This window comes from Homo sapiens, chromosome 3, assembly GCF_000001405.40.
Source record: "Homo sapiens chromosome 3, GRCh38.p14 Primary Assembly".
In the NCBI taxonomy this organism is placed as follows: Eukaryota; Metazoa; Chordata; class Mammalia; order Primates; family Hominidae; genus Homo; species Homo sapiens.
In genome coordinates this window covers 63,199,401-63,219,536 of record NC_000003.12, presented here as the reverse complement: position 1 = coordinate 63,219,536, position 20,136 = coordinate 63,199,401, and the positions used below count along the sequence as shown (strand labels likewise).

At 40.1% G+C, this 20,136-nt stretch overlaps 1 protein-coding gene and 1 pseudogene across 1 annotated transcript in view; one reads left to right on the top strand and one right to left on the bottom strand.

The window, feature by feature from the left end:
- The window catches only part of SYNPR (synaptoporin), a 416,321-nt gene extending 397,388 nt beyond the window's left edge, over positions 1-18,933 (bottom strand). The window contains exon 1 of the mRNA XM_017005731.1: positions 18,876-18,933. Coding sequence (XP_016861220.1) covers positions 18,876-18,919 — 44 coding nt within the window. The 5' untranslated portion in view covers positions 18,920-18,933. The remainder of the gene's footprint in view (positions 1-18,875) is intronic.
- UBL5P3 (ubiquitin like 5 pseudogene 3) lies at positions 15,992-16,416 on the top strand (annotated as a pseudogene).
- Positions 18,934-20,136: the final 1,203 nt, after the last annotated feature.

The window sequence follows — 20,136 nt, the reverse complement described above, 5'->3', positions numbered from 1 at the left end:
TGGATTTTTGGGTGTGGGAGGTTAGCACTCCTAACTCCATTTTGTTAAAAGGTCAACTGTATATTTCTGTTTGTACTTACTTAAAACTCTTCAAAGGTTTCCCATATCAAATAGAAGAAAAGCCAAACTCTCCATGATGTATAAAGCACAGCATAACCTGATGACAGCTGCCCCACCTTGCTACATAGTAGTGTCCTCCGCCTCCTCTGTACTCTGGACGCACTGGCCAACTTTCCGTTTCTTGGACGTGCCAAAATCTTTTCCTGCTCGCAGACTTACAACATTGTTTTTCCTCTGGCTAGAAAGATCTTCCACTCACGCTTGGCACGTCTCCATCCCACTACTCAGGTTTGGGCTAAAATGTCAATACCCATTTCTGACTACTATACATGTACAAGAAGTCCTCTCCCTCATTAGTCTCTGCCACTTCTTTCTCTTCAATTCCTTCATAGAACTTATCTTGACTTAAAATTTTAGGCAAATATCTTATTTGGTTATTTTCTTGGTAAGCAGATGTCTCTCTCACTAGACTCTAAGCAAGAACTGCTGTAAGAGCAGGGATCATGTCTGTATTCCTGCATATAGCATCATACCTAGTGCTCCATAAATATTTGCAAAATGAATTAACCAATTAAAAGCTCCAAGGAGTCAGGTTAGAGTTGTTTAACCCAGCAATACTCACACTTGTTTAGCCGCAGAACCAATCTTAACATAATATCTTTCAGCCCTCCCGGAGAGCTCATGTCCTGTTAATATAATTTGGGGAACACAGACTTTCAGTTGGCATTCTCTCTGGCCCTTTGTATCGCTTTATGAAAAAACACCTTTCAGGCAGAAGGCACACACCTGTAATCCCAGGACTTTTGGAGGCTGAGGCGGGACGGATCACGAAGTCAGGAGACAGAAGCTTTACTTTCTTAAGAGGCAAAAAGCAAAGAGTTTACAGGTATTTCACTTTATAGCCTGAGAGGCATCCTAGGTTAGAGGCAAAGGTAGGATTTCAGAATTATAAAGAGATTGGATTTCAATTCTAACTCTCTCCTATAAAATAAAGATCATAATTCCAACATTTCAGGAATGTTTGGAGGACACAAAGAAGTAGAACATACAGAGAACTGGGTGCAATGTGAGGCACATAGTGGATTCTCAATAAATGTTCCTCCCATACCTTAACTACTCCCTTCATCCCTCTATTGGAGAAATATATTTCTAGCAACTTTTAGAGAACAATGGGGAAACAGCAAAACGCTGGTGTGGATTATATTGACTGCCAGTGAACAGGGTTATCAACTAATATATCATTTATAATTTTTCATTTCTAGTATTTGCTCCACCCTCCTGTAAATATTAGACATAGCCTTGCCCTTGAGGATATTTTATTTTATTATTTATTAATGTATTTTTGGGACAAGGTCTTGCTCTGTTACTCAGGCTGGTGTGCAATGGCACAATCTTGGGTCACTGCAACCTCCACCTCCCGTTGCCCTTGAGAATTTTAAAACTTAGCTGTGGAAGAACAATCAACCCCAAAGAAATAGCTAGAGAGAAATAACAGTAGTCAATAAGTGTTGTAAGAAATCCTTATAGACATAAGGATTGAAGTATCTAAGGTTTCTCTTATTAAGGATACTGGAGAGCATGGATTTGCAATTCCTCTTAAGTGGGCCCAAATACTAAATAGTTTACCAAATGCTTTTGGGTGGAGTTGGAGAACTCTACCCAAAATTTAATGAACTTCTCATTTAACAATGTGCCCTTCTAGGACCACAACACATTTTAAGGAATCTGTCCTCATAAATCCCCAACTAAAGAAAGATTCAAGGAATAGGAACAGCTCCGGTCTACAGCTCCCAGCGTGAGCGACGCAGAAGACGGGTGATTTCTGCATTTCCATCTGAGGTACCAGGTTCATCTCACTAGGGAGTGCCAGACAGTGGGCGCAGGCCAGTGTGTGCGCGCACCGTGCGCGAGCCGAAGCAGGGCGAGGCATTGCCTCACCTGGGAAGCGCAAGGGGTCAGGGAGTTCCCTTTCAGAGTCAAAGAAAGGGGTGACTGACGCACCTGGAAAATCGGGTCACTCCCACCCAAATATTTCGCTTTTCAGACCGGCTTAAAAAACGGTGCACCACGAGACTATATCCCACACCTGGCTCGGAGGGTCCTACGCCCACGGAATCTCGCTGATTGCTAGCACAGCAGTCTGAGATCAAACTGCAAGGCGGCAACGAGGCTGGGGGAGGGGCGCCCGCCATTGCCCAGGCTTGCTTAGGTAAACAAAGCAGCCGGGAAGCTCGAACTGGGTGGAGCCCACCACAGCTCAAGGAGGCCTGCCTGCCTCTGTAGGCTCCACCTCTGGGGGCAGGGCACAGACAAACAAAAAGACAGCAGTAACCTCTGCAGACTTAAGTGTCCCTGTCTGACAGCTTTGAAGAGAGCAGTGGTTCTCCCAGCACGCAGCTGGAGATCTGAGAACAGGCAGACTGCCTCCTCAAGTGGGTCCCTGACCCCTGACCCCCGAGCAGCCTAACTGGGAGGCACCCCCCAGCAGGGGCACACTGACACCTCACACGGCAGGGTATTCCAACAGACCTGCAGCTGAGGGTCCTGTCTGTTAGAAGGAAAACTAACAACCAGAAAGGACATCTACACCGAAAACCCATCTGTACATCACCATCATCTAAGACCAAAAGCAGATAAAACCACAAAGATGGGGAAAAAACAGAACAGAAAAACTGGAAACTCTAAAACGCAGAGCACCTCTCCTCCTCCAAAGGAACGCAGTTCCTCACCAGCAACGGAACAAAGCTGGATGGAGAATGATTTTGACGAGTTGAGAGAAGAAGGCTTCAGACGATCAAATTACTCTGAGCTACGGGAGGACATTCAAACCAAAGGCAAAGAAGTTGAAAACTTTGAAAAAAATTTAGAAGAATGTATAACTAGAATAACCAATACAGAGAAGTGCTTAAAGGAGCTGATGGAGCTGAAAACCAAGGCTCGAGAACTACGTGAAGAATGCAGAAGCCTCAGGAGCCGATGCGATCAACTGGAAGAAAGGGTATCAGCAATGGAAGATGAAATGAATGAAATGAAGCGAGAAGGGAAGTTTAGAGAAAAAAGAATAAAAAGAAATGAGCAAAGCCTCCAAGAAATATGGGACTATGTGAAAAGACCAAATCTACGTCTGATTGGTGTACCTGAAAGTGATGTGGAGAATGGAACCAAGTTGGAAAACACTCTGCAGGATATTATCCAGGAGAACTTCCCCAATCTAGCAAGGCAGGCCAACGTTCAGATTCAGGAAATACAGAGAACGCCACAAAGATACTCCTCGAGAAGAGCAACTCCAAGACACATAATTGTCAGATTCACCAAAGTTGAAATGAAGGAAAAAATGTTAAGGGCAGCCAGAGAGAAAGGTCGGGTTACCCTCAAAGGGAAGCCCATCAGACTAACAGCGGATCTCTCGGCAGAAACCCTACAAGCCAGAAGAGAGTGGGGGCCAATATTCAACATTCTTAAAGAAAAGAATTTTCAACCCAGAATTTCATATCCAGCCAAACTAAACTTCATAAGTGAAGGAGAAATAAAATACTTTATAGACAAGCAAATGCTGAGAGATTTTGTCACCACCAGGCCTGCCCTAAAAGAGCTCCTGAAGGAAGCGCTAAACATGGAAAGGAACAACCGGTACCAGCCGCTGCAAAATCATGCCAAAATGTAAAGACCATCGAGACTAGGAAGAAACTGCATCAACTAACGAGCAAAATCACCAGCTAACATCATAATGACAGGATCAAATTCACACATAACAATATTAACTTTAAATATAAATGGACTAAATTCTGCAATTAAAAGACACAGACTGGCAAGTTGGATAAAGAGTCAAGACCCATCAGTGTGCTGTATTCAGGAAACCCATCTTACGTGCAGAGACACACATAGGCTCAAAATAAAAGGATGGAGGAAGATCTACCAAGCAAATGGAAAACAAAAAAAGGCAGGGGTTGCAATCCTAGTCTCTGATAAAACAGACTTTAAACCAACAAAGATCAAAAGAGACAAAGAAGGCCATTACATAATGGTAAAGGGATCAATTCAACAAGAGGAGCTAACTATCCTAAATATTTATGCACCCAATACAGGAGCACCCAGATTCATAAAGCAAGTCCTGAGTGACCTACAAAGAGACTTAGACTCCCACACATTAATAATGGGAGACTTTAACACCCCACTGTCAACATTAGACAGATCAACGAGACAGAAAGTCAACAAGGATACCCAGGAATTGAACTCAGCTCTGCACCAAGCGGACCTAATAGACATCTACAGAACTCTCCACCCCAAATCAACAGAATATACATTTTTTTCAGCACCACACCACACCTATTCCAAAGTTGACCACATACTTGGAAGTAAAGCTCTCCTCAGCAAATGTAAAAGAACAGAAATTATAACAAACTATCTCTCAGGCCACAGTGCAATCAAACTAGAACTCAGGATTAAGAATCTCACTCAAAGCCGCTCAACTACATGGAAACTGAACAACCTGCTCCTGAATGACTACTGGGTACATAACGAAATGAAGGCAGAAATAAAGATGTTCTTTGAAACCAACGAGAACAAAGACACCACATACCAGAATCTCTGGGACGCATTCAAAGCAGTGTGTAGAGGGAAATTTATAGCACTAAATGCCTACAAGAGAAAGCAGGAAAGATCCAAAATTGACACCCTAACATCATAATTAAAAGAACTAGAAAAGCAAGAGCAAACACATTCAAAAGCTAGCAGAAGGCAAGAAATAACTAAAATCAGAGCAGAACTGAAGGAAATAGAGACACAAAAAACCCTTCAAAAAATCAATGAATCCAGGAGCTGGTTTTTTGAAAGGATCAACAAAATTGATAGACCGCTAGCAAGACTAATAAAGAAAAAAGAGAGAAGAATCAAATAGACACAATAAAAAATGATAAAGGGGATATCACCACCGATCCCACAGAAATACAAACTACCATCAGAGAATACTACAAACACCTCTACGCAAATAAACTAGAAAATCTAGAAGAAATGGATACATTCCTCGACACATACACTCTCCCAAGACTAAACCAGGAAGAAGTTGAATCTCTGAATAGACCAATAACAGGCTCTGAAATTGTGGCAATAATCAATAGTTTACCAACCAAAAAGAGTCCAGAACCAGATGGATTCACAGCCGAATTCTACCAGAGGTACAAGGAGGAACTGGTACCATTCCTTCTGAAACTATTCCAATCAATAGAAAAAGAGGGAATCCTCCCTAACTCATTTTATGAGGCCAGCATCATTCTGATACCAAAGCCGGGCAGAGACACAACCAAAAAAGAGAATTGTAGACCAATATCCTTGATGAACATTGATGCAAAAATCCTCAATAAAATACTGGCAAACCAAATCCAGCAGCACATCAAAAAGCTTATCCACCATGATCAAGTGGGCTTCATCCCTGGATGCAAGGCTGGTTCAATATACGCAAATCAATAAATGTAATCCAGCATATAAACACAGCCAAAGACAAAAACCACATGATTATCTCAATAGATGCAGAAAAAGCCTTTGACAAAATTCAACAACCCTTCATGCTAAAAACTCTCAATAAATTAGGTATTGATGGGACGTATTTCAAAATAATAAGAGCTATCTATGACAAACCCACAGCCAATATCATACTGAATGGGCAAAAACTGGAAGCATTCCCTTTGAAAACTGGCACAAGACAGGGATGCCCTCTCTCACCACTCCTATTCAACATAGTGTTGGAAGTTCTGGCCAGGGCAATCAGGCAGGAGAAGGAAATAAAGGGTATTCAATTAGGAAAAGAGGAAGTCAAATTGTCCCTGTTTGCAGACGACATGATTGTTTATCTAGAAAACCCCATCGTCTCAGCCCAAAATCTCCTTAAGCTGATAAGCAACTTCAGCAAAGTCTCAGGATACAAAATCAATGTACAAAAATCACAAGCATTCTTATACACCAACAGACAAACAGAGAGCCAAATCATGAGTGAACTCCCATTCACAATTGCTTCAAAGAGAATAAAATACCTAGGAATCCAACTTACAAGGGATGTGAAGGACCTCTTCAAGGAGAACTACAAACCACTGCTCAAGGAAATAAAAGAGGACACAAACAAATGGAAGAACATTCCATGCTCATGGGTAGGAAGAATCAATATCGTGAAAATGGCCATACTGCCCAAGGTAATTTACAGATTCAATGCCATCCCCATCAAGCTACCAATGACTTTCTTCACAGAATTGGAAAAAACTACTTTAAAGTTCATATGGAACCAAAAAAGAGCCCGCATCGCCAAGTCAATCCTAAGCCAAAAGAACAAAGCTGGAGGCATCACACTACCTGACTTCAAACTATACTACAAGGCTACAGTAACCAAAACAGCATGGTACTGGTACCAAAACAGAGATATAGATCAATGGAACAGAACAGAGCCCTCAGAAATAACGCTGCATACCTACAACTATCTGATCTTTGACAAACCTGAGAAAAACAAGCAATGGGGAAAGGATTCCCTATTTAATAAATGGTGCTGGGAAAACTGGCTAGCCATATGTAGAAAGCTGAAACTGGATCCCTTCCTTACACCTTATACAAAAATCAATTCAAGATGGATTAAAGATTTAAACGGTAGACCTAAAACCATAAAAACCCTAGAAGAAAACCTAGGCATTACCATTCAGGACATAGGCGTGGGCAAGGACTTCATGTCCAAAACACCAAAAGCAATGGCAACAAAAGCCAAAATTGACAAATGGGATCTAATTAAACTAAAGAGCTTCTGCACAGCAAAAGAAACTACCATCAGAGTGAACAGGCAACCTACAACATGGGAGAAAATTTTTGCAACCTACTCATCTGACAAAGGGCTAATATCCAGAATCTACAATGAACTCAAACAAATTTACAAGAAAAAAACAAACAACCCCATCAAAAAGTGGGCGAAGGACATGAGCAGACACTTCTCAAAAGAAGACATTTATGCAGCCAAAAAACACATGAAAAAATGCTCATCATCACTGGCCATCAGAGAAATGCAAATCAAAACCACTATGAGATATCATCTCACACCAGTTAGAATGGCGATCATTAAAAAGTCAGGAAACAACAGGTGCTGGAGAGGATGTGGAGAAATAGGAACACTTTTACACTGTTGGTGGGACTGTAAACTAGTTCAACCATTGTGGAAGTCAGTGTGGCGATTCCTCAGGGATCTAGAACTGGAAATACCATTTGACCCAGCCATCCCATTACTGGGTATATACCCAAAGGACTATAAATCATGCTGCTATAAAGACACATGCACACGTATGTTTATTGCGGCACTATTCACAATAGCAAAGACTTGGAACCAACCCAAATGTCCAACAATGGTAGACTGGATTAAGAAAATGTGGCACATATACACCATGGAATACTATGCAGCCATAAAAAATGAAGAGTTCATGTCCTTTGTAGGGACATGGATGAAATTGGAAATCATCATTCTCAGTAAACTATCGCAAGAACAAAAAACCAAACACCGCATATTCTCACTCATAGGTGGGAATTGAACAATGAGATCACATGGACACAGGAAGGGGAATATCACACTCTGGGGACTGTGGTGGGGTCGGGGGAGGGGGGAGGGATAGCATTGGGAGATATACCTAATGCTAGATGATGCGTTAGTGGGTGCAGCGCACCAGCATGGCACATGTATACATATGTAACTAACCTGCACAATGTGCACATGTACCCTAAAACTTAAAGTATAATAAAAAAAAAAAAAGAAAGATTCAAGCTTCTTCTTAAAACCTGATTTCTCAGCAGAGTGCTTCATTACAGACCCTGGGAAGCTGATATGGCAGGCTAATTTTTCTCCTTCCTTAAAATTGAAAACAGCTTGAGCTCTCTAAAGTCCTTGTCATCTACCGAGGCAGATGGAAACTAGAGGAGAGAACAACTTTATAACAAAATAATAGCAGGATTAGCCTATAGAGAGATAGTGAGCACTTGCAAAGATTCAACAGAATACTATTGCTGCAAAAAACTGTAAACTTGAATCTCCTTGCTCTTGTGCCATGGCATCATTCTAAAGCATGAAGAAAAATTTGAAGTAAAAGAAGGTCTTGGCCGGGCACGGTGGCTCATGCCTGTAATCCCAGCAGTTTGGGAGGCTGAGGCAGGTTGATCATTTGAGGTCAGGAGTTCAAGACCAGCCTGGCCAACATGGTGAAACCCATCTCTACTAAAAATATAAAAATTAGCCAGGTGTGGTGGCGGGTGCCTGTAATCCCTGCTACTCAGGAGGCTGAGGCAGGGAACTGCTTGAACCCAGGAGGTGGAGGTTGCAGTGAGCCAAGATCGCGCCACTGCACTCCAGGCTGGGTGACAAAGTGAGACTCCATTTCAGAAAAAAAGAAGGTCTTATGGTACCTTTCCCAACAGCCTAATTTATAGAAACAAATCTAGTTAGATTAGCAGAATCTGGAGAAGAGGCTAATAGTGGCAGCAAGCGTTTATTTGTTGAATATTAAATTTGAAGAACCAGTAAAGGATGTGTGAAGGTGTCAGGTATGAAGGTGAATTGCCCAAAGTGATATTCAACTACAATTAGTATACAATTAGTTTAGTAGTTTTTAAAAAGGAAGTGAGGAGAACAAGAGAGGAAGGAAAGGAAGGAAGGAAGGAAGGAAGGAAGGGAGGAAAATGGGAAGATGGGAGGGAGGGAGAAAAAGGAAAGAAAGGGAAAGATAGTTTGAAACAACTTATAGAAGATAAATATGGATGGCATAATTTTTGTTTAACAGTTACCAGGTGTTTTTACTTCTTCTCTTCATCATTCCTATTCTTCAGCCACTCTTTTGCTCAGTTTTCTGGACAGGAGCATCAAAAGTTAGGAGTGGTGATTGTGAGAATAACTAAGAAGGGAAAGAAAACGGAAAACAAGTAAGGTTTGTAGGAAACCAGACCAACCAACCAAATCAACTTTGCTTGCAGCAAACATTATTTAAAGCAACTAATAATCCTCAGATAAAGAGGAAAAAGAATCAAAAAGGAGAGTCCTGTGTAAAATCACTTTTGTCCACAATCTATTTCAGTTAGATGGAATCAAATTTCTTTTAGGCTCTGATTGGTTCTAACTCCAGTGAAGACTCTGCTGGCTTTCTGCTGTGTTACCTACTCCTTGAGGAAAGAAACCACTAAAATTAGCTTTTCCTCCATTCTCAGCACCCAGCATACAGTAGGCCCTGCATCTAAATTAAGGGAATGTAGTTAACAACTAATACTGGCCAAGATATATAAGTAAAGAATTATTCTCATTAATGAATTAGAGCTATATAGTGAATTGAATCTCTCTAATTACACAAAACTAACACTCTTAATTTAGTTAAATACTCCAGTAGTTTCCACAATTATATTCACTTGACTGTTCTCTTAGTAAGAACAATGTCCTGTTTGGAAAAAAAAAAATTTTAGCTAATATGGACTCTGTGAGGTTTTCTAAACCTCATTTAATTACAAAATACAGTCTAAATTCATCCAACAAATATTTCTCAAGCACCCATCCAGCATACAATTATAGGGAGCACTGAGCAAGACCAACACCTTCCATGTTTCATGGAGCTTCCAATCTTTAGAGGAGACAGATGCTAAGCAACTAATTGCCTAATTAGCTATTTGACTAAAATTGTGATGAATGCCAATATGTCAAAGTTTAGGATGCTATGAGCGTGTGTAAGTTAGAGACATGGGAACTCTTCCTTGAAAAAGAAATTATGCTTGAACCCATATGTGAGGGTTAAGGAAAAATTAACGAGGTAAATAGGGAGAGGGAGAATAGTTTTATAAGCAGCTTATTTAAAGACTTTAAAGTGAGAAGGAGCCAGAACATGCTGGTAAAACCAAAGAAAGGCAATACGGCTAAACCCTAATCATGAGGATTAACTTAAAGGATGGCACAGACCTATAGGTTTTTGAAGGCTGATAATGACTGTACTTTGTTGTTTAAATTAACCCCCCCAGACTGTTCAGAAAATCTTTAGTAAGCTCTGGACTGTATATGAAAATCATCAAAGACTTGAATTTGTGACATGGCTGATTCTGGGATATAAGGACTTGTTCATTTTAATTCTTTCACTCACTGTTTACTGTTTCCCAACCTTTTTTTTTTTTTTTTTTGAGACGGAGTCTCGCTGTCACCCAAGCTGGAGTGCAGTGGCGCGATCTCTGCTCGCTGCAGGCTCCGCCCCCCGGGTTCATGCCATTCTCCTGCCTCAACCTTATGAGCAGCTGGGACTACAGGCGACCCCCACCTCGCCCGGCTAGTTTTTTGTATTTTTAGTAGAGACGGGGTTTCACTGTGTTAGCCAGGATGGTTTAAAACATAAAAGGATGCCTATATTTCCAGATGAGTGATATGTTTTTAATGATGATGAGTTTATACATTTTTTTTCATTCTTTTCATCAAGGAATAAGGTAAACGTTAGAGGAGAATGGAGTGACAATGACCTGGGAATTGTATCCTGTGGATACTATAAAAGTGTCACCTTAAAAAACAAAAGATTTCTATAGTCAAACCTTTGAGGGAAGTAGTACATTGTAAAAGGTAAATAGATTTCTTTATTGAGGGATTTCTCAGAGCCTTTAGTATTCTACCAAATCAATGTTTCTTACTAACCGGCTATGCCAATCTTGTGCCGAGCCCAGGAATATAGGATGACTTTGAAAGACATGGTCTCTGACTTCACGGAGCTTACAGTCTCTGCAACAAGGGTTGTGATCCCCCAAGAGAGAAACAGAGTTTGCAGGCCTTCCCAAACCTATTTGAGTACAGAATTCTCTTTCAGCACAGCATCTCCTGGAACAGTATTTGAGAAACCCTTGCTAGTCCTATCTAGAAGAATCAATACCAGACATCTCCAAAACATTTAGATTGAGTTCTGTGGGAAAGTACTTTTAAAAATGCCAGACACGGCTTTGTTTCCTAGAGGACAAACCAGATGACTGTGGTAGGATGGCCTTTTAAAATAAATGAAGCATCAGCAACATTAGAAGACCATATGTGCCCCAGAGTGAGAAATGCTCACTCATTCTGTGCCAGATTTGACAGCAGCATCAGGGAGTTCTCAGGAGGAGCAGCAGAAGCCCACATCTTTCCTCATACCCCAATTCAGGAGGCAGAGCAGTTAATCTTTCCCAAACAATTTAAACCTCACTCCAGTCATAAAATAACTGGGTCTTGTAGTAGTATCTATGCTGATGAAGTTTTAATTCAAAGAAGGGCATCACTCTAAGTGAGAGGCTAATTAACACAACCATCTCTTTACTATGGAAGAGATGTATATTCTGGAAGTTACTGACTTTCAGAAGTATATTCTGGAAGTTACTGACTTTCGGAAGTATATTCTGGAAGTTATTGACTCTGTGAGTGTGTGTGTGTGTGTGTGTTTGTGTGTGTGTTTGCACGTAGAATTAATGAAAAATTTATTATTTATTTATTTCTGACCATCTCAAAACCAAGATCTTCTTTGAAGTACTCTTCTAGGAGGATGAATACCAAATTGGCTTTTCTCAAATAACTGGAGAGAATGGACATCTTACTAGAGCTGAGCAGTGAAGAAGCCTCTTGGGTTTTATATTATTTTAGGTTCATTAAAGTGCAACATGCTTGATTCTGAGATTTACATCAAAATATTTTCTTTCATTTTTTTTAAAAAAATGCAGCAGATGGTAACTGGACAGGAGATTTTCTGTTATTGGGGTTAGAAAGACGAGAAGATGACTTTCCTTTTCATTCTAGTATCTCAGAGTTTTCCTTTCTAATGAAATATTTGACTTTCAAGAGTTCTGTTCCTTGTAGAGCCTCATGATTCATATTATACTGAGTTATGACTATTGTGTTGTGATTTTGTTTAGAAGGATACAGAAGATGACTTATTTTAGATAAGTCCATATAAAGAAGTTGTTCTTAGTACATAAAATGTACTCATGAATACTTACCAAATTGTTCAATCATGTTAGTGACAAATGTTTCCTATGAGTCATTTTCCCTTTGGTGACAATACCTTCATGAGCTAGTCAAACCAAAGATTAAATCCACCTGCTCTGGTTCTTGATTTCAAATCTACTTGTAAGAGAATTAGCATTATCAGATAAAATGACAGGAGAAATCATGCCAGAATGCTTTATAGAGGAAAATTAATATTGAGTCAGAACATCTGAGTATGTGTCAAGCTGACGTGGGTCCCAGCACACGTCACTGAATGTAAACACTCAGTGAAATTTGTTGATCCTCCAGCCTTCCCACCTCATTCATCACCCATTAAATTCTGCACTTTTACTAGCTATAACTTGGGTTAAAAGAATGACAAGAATACAAGAACTAAGTATAATTCCTTTACCAGAAAATACTGCACATTGCCAATAGGACCTGAAACATCAGGAACCAAACTTCCTCTCTCCTTCTCCCTGAGAGCCTGGTGCTTCTCTTTATGCATGCACGTCAACTTCATTCTGTTCTGTTTCTGCAGAACCATTTTCTCTACTTTAGGCAATTAGAGCAAGATAATAGCCATAACAACAACTCCAGGCACAGCCCCAGATTCTCATAACCCTAATTTCTGCTCTTGACCTAATTTCAATCTTCTAGAATAGAGAATTTGATTGGCCCAGCTCAGGTGTCTACTTCTAGTACCATTAGCTATGGCTAGGATCAATGGCCCATGTGTTATGCTGTCCACACAAGGAGAGGCAAGGAATGCTAAGTGACTGACATGTCCATTATACTTTTCATGCCTTTTCACATCTAAATTTGAATACATCTCTATGTCACATTCAAAAAGCTTTATGTCATATAATGCAAAATTTAAATTAATAGAATGAATCACATAAAACCTAAATATTGTGTGATTTTTCTTTTCTTTTCTTTTTTTTTGAGACACAGTCTCACTCTGTCACCCAGGCTGGAGTGCAGTGGTGTGATCTCAGCTCACTGCAACCTCCGCCTCCTGGGCTCAAGCCATTCTCCTGCCCCAGCCTCCCAAGTAGCTGGGACTACAGGCACCATGTTGGACAGGCTGGTCTCTAACTCCTCACCACAAGTGACCTGCCCACTTCGGCCTCCCAAAGTGCTGGGATTACAGGTGTAAGCCACTGTGCCCAGCCTATATTGTGTGATTTTTCTATTGGGATATGTTCACAAATGTCCCCTGGAGAAATCTTTTTCAGAGCCTTTCCCCCCCTAAACTGGTAATTCTAAGCAAGTGGTTCTTAAATTTTAGGGCACCTAAGAATCCCCCATAGATCTTATTAAAAATGAGAATTTTCCCGTCTCAGAAAGCCTAAGTAAGTCTGAGGAGAACTTCAGTTGTAAGTGGGTCACAGTTTGAGAAACACAGGACTAGATTGCATACAAGCAAAAAAGGAACAGGGGCTACAAATTTGACAGAGGGTCTTCTATAGAGGGGAAAACAGAAGAAAACCAGCATCGTTTCTGAGGAATCCTTTCCTTGCTATAAACTTCCTGAACCAACAGAACTGTCAAAACTTCATCCTGGAAAAAAAACTTCTTCAGTAGATTTTCACCGCTGTATTTAACATGCTCTGGGGATTCATGGCCAGAAATGTCCAGTTATTTCCATAAAAAGATGTGCAACATCATATTTCAGATGAGGGTATTTTCTAACTGAGGCAAGTAATACTTTGCATACTCCTATCAGCAGGTAACAAAGTAGAGAGCGCTATCGTGCGTACAGGTTATGAAAATATGAAGCCAGTTTCACAAACAGAGCTCAGTTATTCTCAGAGATCAGCTGAATAATACAGGTTTTCTTTCCAAGTGCCTGTCAAGGGAAGAATATAGACATTCTACAAAGGGCTATGTCAATGAGCTTTCACTCAGCAGCAGAGCAGTGTGACGATGATTTCATTGTTTGGCGAGAGCCAACTTTAACAGTGACAGGGGTTTAACAGCAACTCCAAAATTTCAGAGGCACCCTTCTCCCTATAAGTGATGGGGAATATATCATACAAAGGGAGTTTTTGTTTGCTTCACTTTAGGCACTAGGCTAAGTATTACATGAAAAGGTAGAATTGGTGTTACATGAAAATGGTAGAAGAGAATATTTTGGACAGGTAGGGACATCTGCTTGGAAAAGTTCTGAAATTTATTGATTTGTTTGCATATTCAAAAATGTTACTGCAAAAAATATTAAGGGATCATTTTCATTAAGCTTTCCCAGGTACTGTCTGCTAAGTGTTAGGGATACAATAGAATGCAAAAACTGACATGGCCCCTGTCTGTGAAAAAGGAAGGTGAGAAAGATAAACACAAAAACAATAATCACACACATAGTATAAAATTACAAGTCTGGCAAGGTCTGTTGAATAAATTTGGGGGATGCTACAAAATATATAAAGTAGGGAAATGACCCCGTTATAGAGGTCAGAAAAGGATGGTGAAACAGAGGTGAGGGAACAGTCAGAGTCAACAGATAAAGAATTACTCTGGCTGGGCGTAGTGGCTCATGCCTGTAATCTCAGCACTTTGGGAGGCTGAGGTGGGCAGATCACCTGAGGTCAGGAGTTTGAAACCAGCCTGGCCATGATGGCAAAACCTCATCTCTACTAAAAATACAAAAATTAGCCGGGCATGGTGGCGCATGCCTGTAGTCCCAGCTACTCAGGAGGCTGAGTGAGGCAGGAGAATCAGTTGAACCTAGGAGGTGGAGGTTGCAGTGAGTCTAGACTGTGCCACTGCACTCCAGCCTGGGTGACAGAGCGAGACTGTCTCAAAAAAAAGAAAAAAAAAATCACTCGAGGAGTATTTGCAAAGATCTTAGGTGAGGCTGTGGTAGCGAAGAATCTAGGTAATTCAAGAAGTCGATGAAGACTTCTACTAAAGGAGAGAGCAAATGTGTTGTTACTAGTTGAACTGTATCCCTCTAAAAAGATAGTTGAAGTCCTAACCCCCAGTACCTCAAAATGTGACCTTATATGGAAATAGTGTCATTACAGATAGAACTGATTAAGATGAGATCATGCTGGAGTAGGGTGGGCCTTTAATCCAATAAGACCAGTGCCTTTATAAGAAAAGGAGGTAGAGACACACAGAGGAAATATGGCCACATGAAGATGTAGGGAGAGGTCTGAGTTGTGCTTCCACAAGCAAGGAATGCCTGGGGATGCTGGAAGAGGCAAAGAAGGACCCCAACCCTAGAGTCTTCGGAGGGAACATGGCCCTCCCAACATCTTGATTTTGGACTTGTAGTCTTTACAATTGTGAGGAAATACATTTGTGTTGTTTTTTATCCACCTGGTTTGTGGCAATTTGTTATAGTAGCCCCAGGAAAGTAACATGGGGGTGAGGTAGGCTGATGTTAAACCAGGTTGGAGAGTAGAGCAGGCCAGGCCCCACAAGGTCTTGATGATCTTATTAAAGGTGATTCTCTTAAGAGCAATAGCCAGCCAGCAAACTTTTTTTTGTTTTTGTTTTTGAGATGGAGTTTTGCTCTTGTTGCCCCAGGATGGAATGCCATGGCGCCATCTTGGCTTACTGCAACCTCTGCCTTCCAGGTTCAAGCAATTATCCTGCCTCAGCCTCTGGAGCAGCTGGGATTACAGGCATCCACCACCACTTCCAGCTAATTTTTTGTATTATTTAGTAGAGATAGGGTTTCACCAGATTGGCCTGGCTGGTCTCAAACTCCTGACCTCAGGTGATCCGCCCACCTTGGCCTCCTAAAGTGCTGGGATTACAGGCATAAGCCACAGCACCCGGCCCAAAGAACACTTTTAAGCAATGAGGCAGTAGTGTCTAGGTAGCATGTGAGAGGATCAGATTCACCTTTAGAAAAGGTCACCTGGACTTCTTTAGTGAATGAATTGGAAGGAGGCAAGAATGATAGGCCACCAACATTCCAAATCATTGATGTCTCAAAATAGTCACCCAGCTTCCGGTTCCCAGCGTTGACTGCGACCGGGGTTCAGCACTCGGGTGAGGAATCTGTGGCATTGGCAGATTCAAGGTGATTTGAGCTTTAGCTAGGATGATGGAGGTTGTTTGCAACAACTGTCTGGGCTTCAGGTCCATGTTAAATGCAACATAGATGACGCCACTGGAGACCTTAAGAGACCGTAAGAAGCTGATTGCAGCCCAAGCTGTCACCCATTGTAAAAAGATTATCCTGAAGAAATGGTACATGATTTTTAGGGACCACACGATACTGGGGGACCATGAAATCCATGATGGGATGGACCTGGAGCTTTATTTTCAATAGATTAGAATCCTAATATTTCTGCTGCCCCACTGTCCTCTCTCATCCTCACATCCTCACCCCCAACACTGGTATAGATGCTTGTTTTTAAAAACTCACCCAAGACTTAAACGTGGCAAATATATATATATATATATATATATATATATATACACATACATATATATATGTATTTATATTTATAATTAAAAATTGAAAAAAACAAAGAACCAAAATAGCTACCCAATTAGATCACATTTTTCTTTCCAGCTACCATAGATTAAAGAAATCAAATTTTCTGTATTCATTAATACTGGACAGCTAAAACAAAGTTTCCCAAACTGTGTTCCAAGAAACCCAAGTTCTGAGAAGTCTGTTTTGGAAAACATTCCATGGTCAAGTAAATTTTGGAAGTTCTAAGTCCCTTGGGAGCTTTCTTCTTTCTTGGGGAGTCAAAACATGTTTTAACATGTTAAAATCTCTAGGAAGTCCTGCGATAAAGAAAGAGCATAGCTCCAATGCTCAAATGTGTTTGATTATGAAATATCCTTGGGCCAAACCCAAACCAAACATAGTTGGGATTACCTGTTAACATTCTAAAGAATTCACTTTTGAAAATTCAGGGCAGAGAGGTTTTTTAAAAATAATCTTTTCATATCCTCAACCCACTTTTGGAGCCAGGAAATTCTACCCAATATTTAGTTTAAAGTTTGCTCTGCAATTTTCCTCTTGCCTGTGTTCACGGCCCACTGAGGGATAACTGCTGACAATCTGTGAAGTGATGGTTATTTTGAAGCTCAAATCTCCCTTCCCCTTCTCTTCTCCCATCTGGGCATCATTTGAGAGATCTTCCCTGAAGCAATTCTGCAAGCAGGGTGTGGAGAAAATATTTATGAACCATTTTTAAAACACCACTTTAAAAAACATGGCATATTCAAATGTGATGTGAAACATATATCCCCAAACTTCAAAATGTTGGTCATTATCACCAATACAGAGAATGTTATACCTGGAAAGGAATCTAGGAGTCATTTGGTTTAAAATGCTCATTTTGCTCATAAATAAAACTAAGGTCCAGATAGCCAAAGAGAACGGGCCAAAACCACACAGCTGATCCTATCACACAGCTGGAAGGAGATCAGAGGTGTTCAATCCCAGGCCCACTTTCTTTTGAATATATATTCTGGGGTTTTTAAAAAACTTACTGAACTCCTGGCAGCATTTGAATCTAGATATTAATAGTTAATATAAAGATTATCAAAAAGGCATTCTAACTAATTCAAGAATCTCAACCAGTACATACCTCTTTTTGTGAGTGAAAGTAACCAATTCAGTAGAAAAAAAGGGGGGAAGGGTAAATTTGTAAATAGTAAAAATAGTAGCCTATAATTCAAGTTTTATGTTCTGGTTATCTCTGTTCCACATATATAATTTTCTTGAAATTATCAAAAAATAATTCCTCTTGACACTTTCATGTATTTATTGTAAATTCTTTATTTTTGGTGTAATTTTTTTTCTTTTAAATAACAAAACATTTTAAAATGTTTTAAACAGTAAGATTTTTTTAAATGACTCTGAAAAATATCTCCCTTGGCTTTTGTTTTTTATTCTATCTCCTTCCCTTCCATCAAGTATCTGTAAATATAAAGCAGGTAGAAAGATATCTCCCAATCAGTACCACACATTTAAGGCAGGAAAATCATGTTTTGCTGTCTCCACTCTTTATAGTGTTATCCTACTAGTGATCCTTATTAATGCATTTATGGAAGTAGATTTCAGCTTGCCTTGTCATTGCTGTCTGTCCCACAGAGACACATATTTTGCAGACATGATTCTGTACCTAAGCAGCAGCCTTTCAGACAATGTGATAGGTAAAGGCAGAAAGAAAGATGGCACCAGTACAGATGACTTTGCCCAGAATGACTTTGAGCTAGCAGAACTAAATATGATGCCTTTGCTGGTGAACACATCTTGCAGACACTTCAAGAAAGGTAATGTTCATGCAACATGGCCCCTTCCCTCAAGACATATTCTTTATCTTATAATCAACTGAAGAAAAAGTGATCTGTTACAATATTGAAGCATAAACAGGCTAAGGAGAATCTTGAGACAGTTGTTCAGTCCTTATTTCTCTTTTTTAGGGAAGTTTAAAGGATAATTTTGGCTCTATGCTATATTCTACTTAGTAGCTAATTTCAGAACCTAATCCATACAAAATACATTTCCAGGTGTAATTTCCAGATTAAACAGGAATGGCACTGCCTGGGTACATCTAGATTTACCTCTCCCCACGAAGCTCTTCTCTGCCCATTTTGCTTCTTTTGTTGAGACAGCCCATTGATATCATTACACTTGGGCTAAACTAAAAACACATCCAGCTCCCAGTATTCTCTCATCTCAGAAAAGAGATAAATCTTTTAGAATGCTTAGGGAGCTGGCTTCAAAATGCTGCCACTCCTTTCATGATAGTATCACAAAGAAGTTAGAGTCAATATCCTTTCTCTAATTCAGGAAACAGCTTGATGTAGGGAAAGATTGAGAAATTAAAAAGAGAAACACCAGTCTATATCATGATCTCACCATGTATTTGCAGAGAAACTTTGGATGAGTTTCTTTGTTTTCATGAGTTTCCGTTTCCTCACCTGTAAAATAGGATTGATAAAATGTACTGAAAATGTTGAGAAGAGCAAGTGAAGTTTTACAAAATATCCTTCATGGTTTCTGGCACATCAAAGCTCTCAGCCTATACACTTTACCTTCGCTTTTCTGGCTCCTTTTGAAATCAGCATTCAATCCATGGTAACTTCAGAAATCAAATGCCAGCTGTGTGTCTAAAAGAAAGTTCTTTGTGACGATTTAACCTAAAAGAATCTCTCAACCAGAATCTATTTAATATCTAGGGTTCAATGAAATGCCTTTAAAGCAAAGCGTTTGGGGGAAAATACAGAATAGAAAAGAAGTGCACTCCATAGAATGTCATAGTAGGGGCTATGTCCATGCATAAGGACATAAGATAAAATCAAAATATTCAGTCCAGCAAGTAGGTCACATCAATTCCACTGTTACCTACAGACAAGAAAGTCATGGGGATACTGGACAGACTTGACAGGCAATAAAATGTGATGGTTAACAGCAAGTCAAATACAATTATTTCCAGTTCTGGCTCTGAAATATACTAGCTGCACCATCTTAAGTAAGCCATTGTATTTGTGAGCTTCAATTTTCTCATCTGTGTAAGAAGGATAATAGTATCTAATTTATGGGGTTGGTGTTGTGAGTAATAAATATTCTAATTAATACATAGTGCTCTGCACAACATCAGGCAAGGAGCAAATGTTGAATAGATGGAATCAATTATCATTGTTCTTTTTTTTTTTTCTAAACACTTAAGGTCAAGTCTGAGTCACTTCTAATCAGAGTTTCTGCCCTCCGACACTCAAAAATGCCTAACAGGAACCCAATGATTAGGTACAGAAACAAACAAAAGAAGAAGAAAATCCTTATCTCTGATGAATCCTCCCCCTCCATTAAGCAGTCAGGAAATAATGCGCTGAGTACTGGTAGGGTGGGACAAATCCAAGGAAATATTTCCAGCTGTCAAGACATCCACAGTCTATGCCCTGTGGTCTTCACACATGAGATGTGAATTTTGTAAAGTATGCTTATTTCAGCTCAATTGCCGATTTTTCTTCTAGAGCAAAACTAAAGATACTTAGGCCTCTGACCAGTGGGGAAGCTTTTGTCTTCATCCTAACCAACTGGCTGGCCTGACAATAATAGCACTTTTCAATGTCATTCTTTTTGGATATCTAGAAAAGATAGGAATCCGGGATTTGTGTTC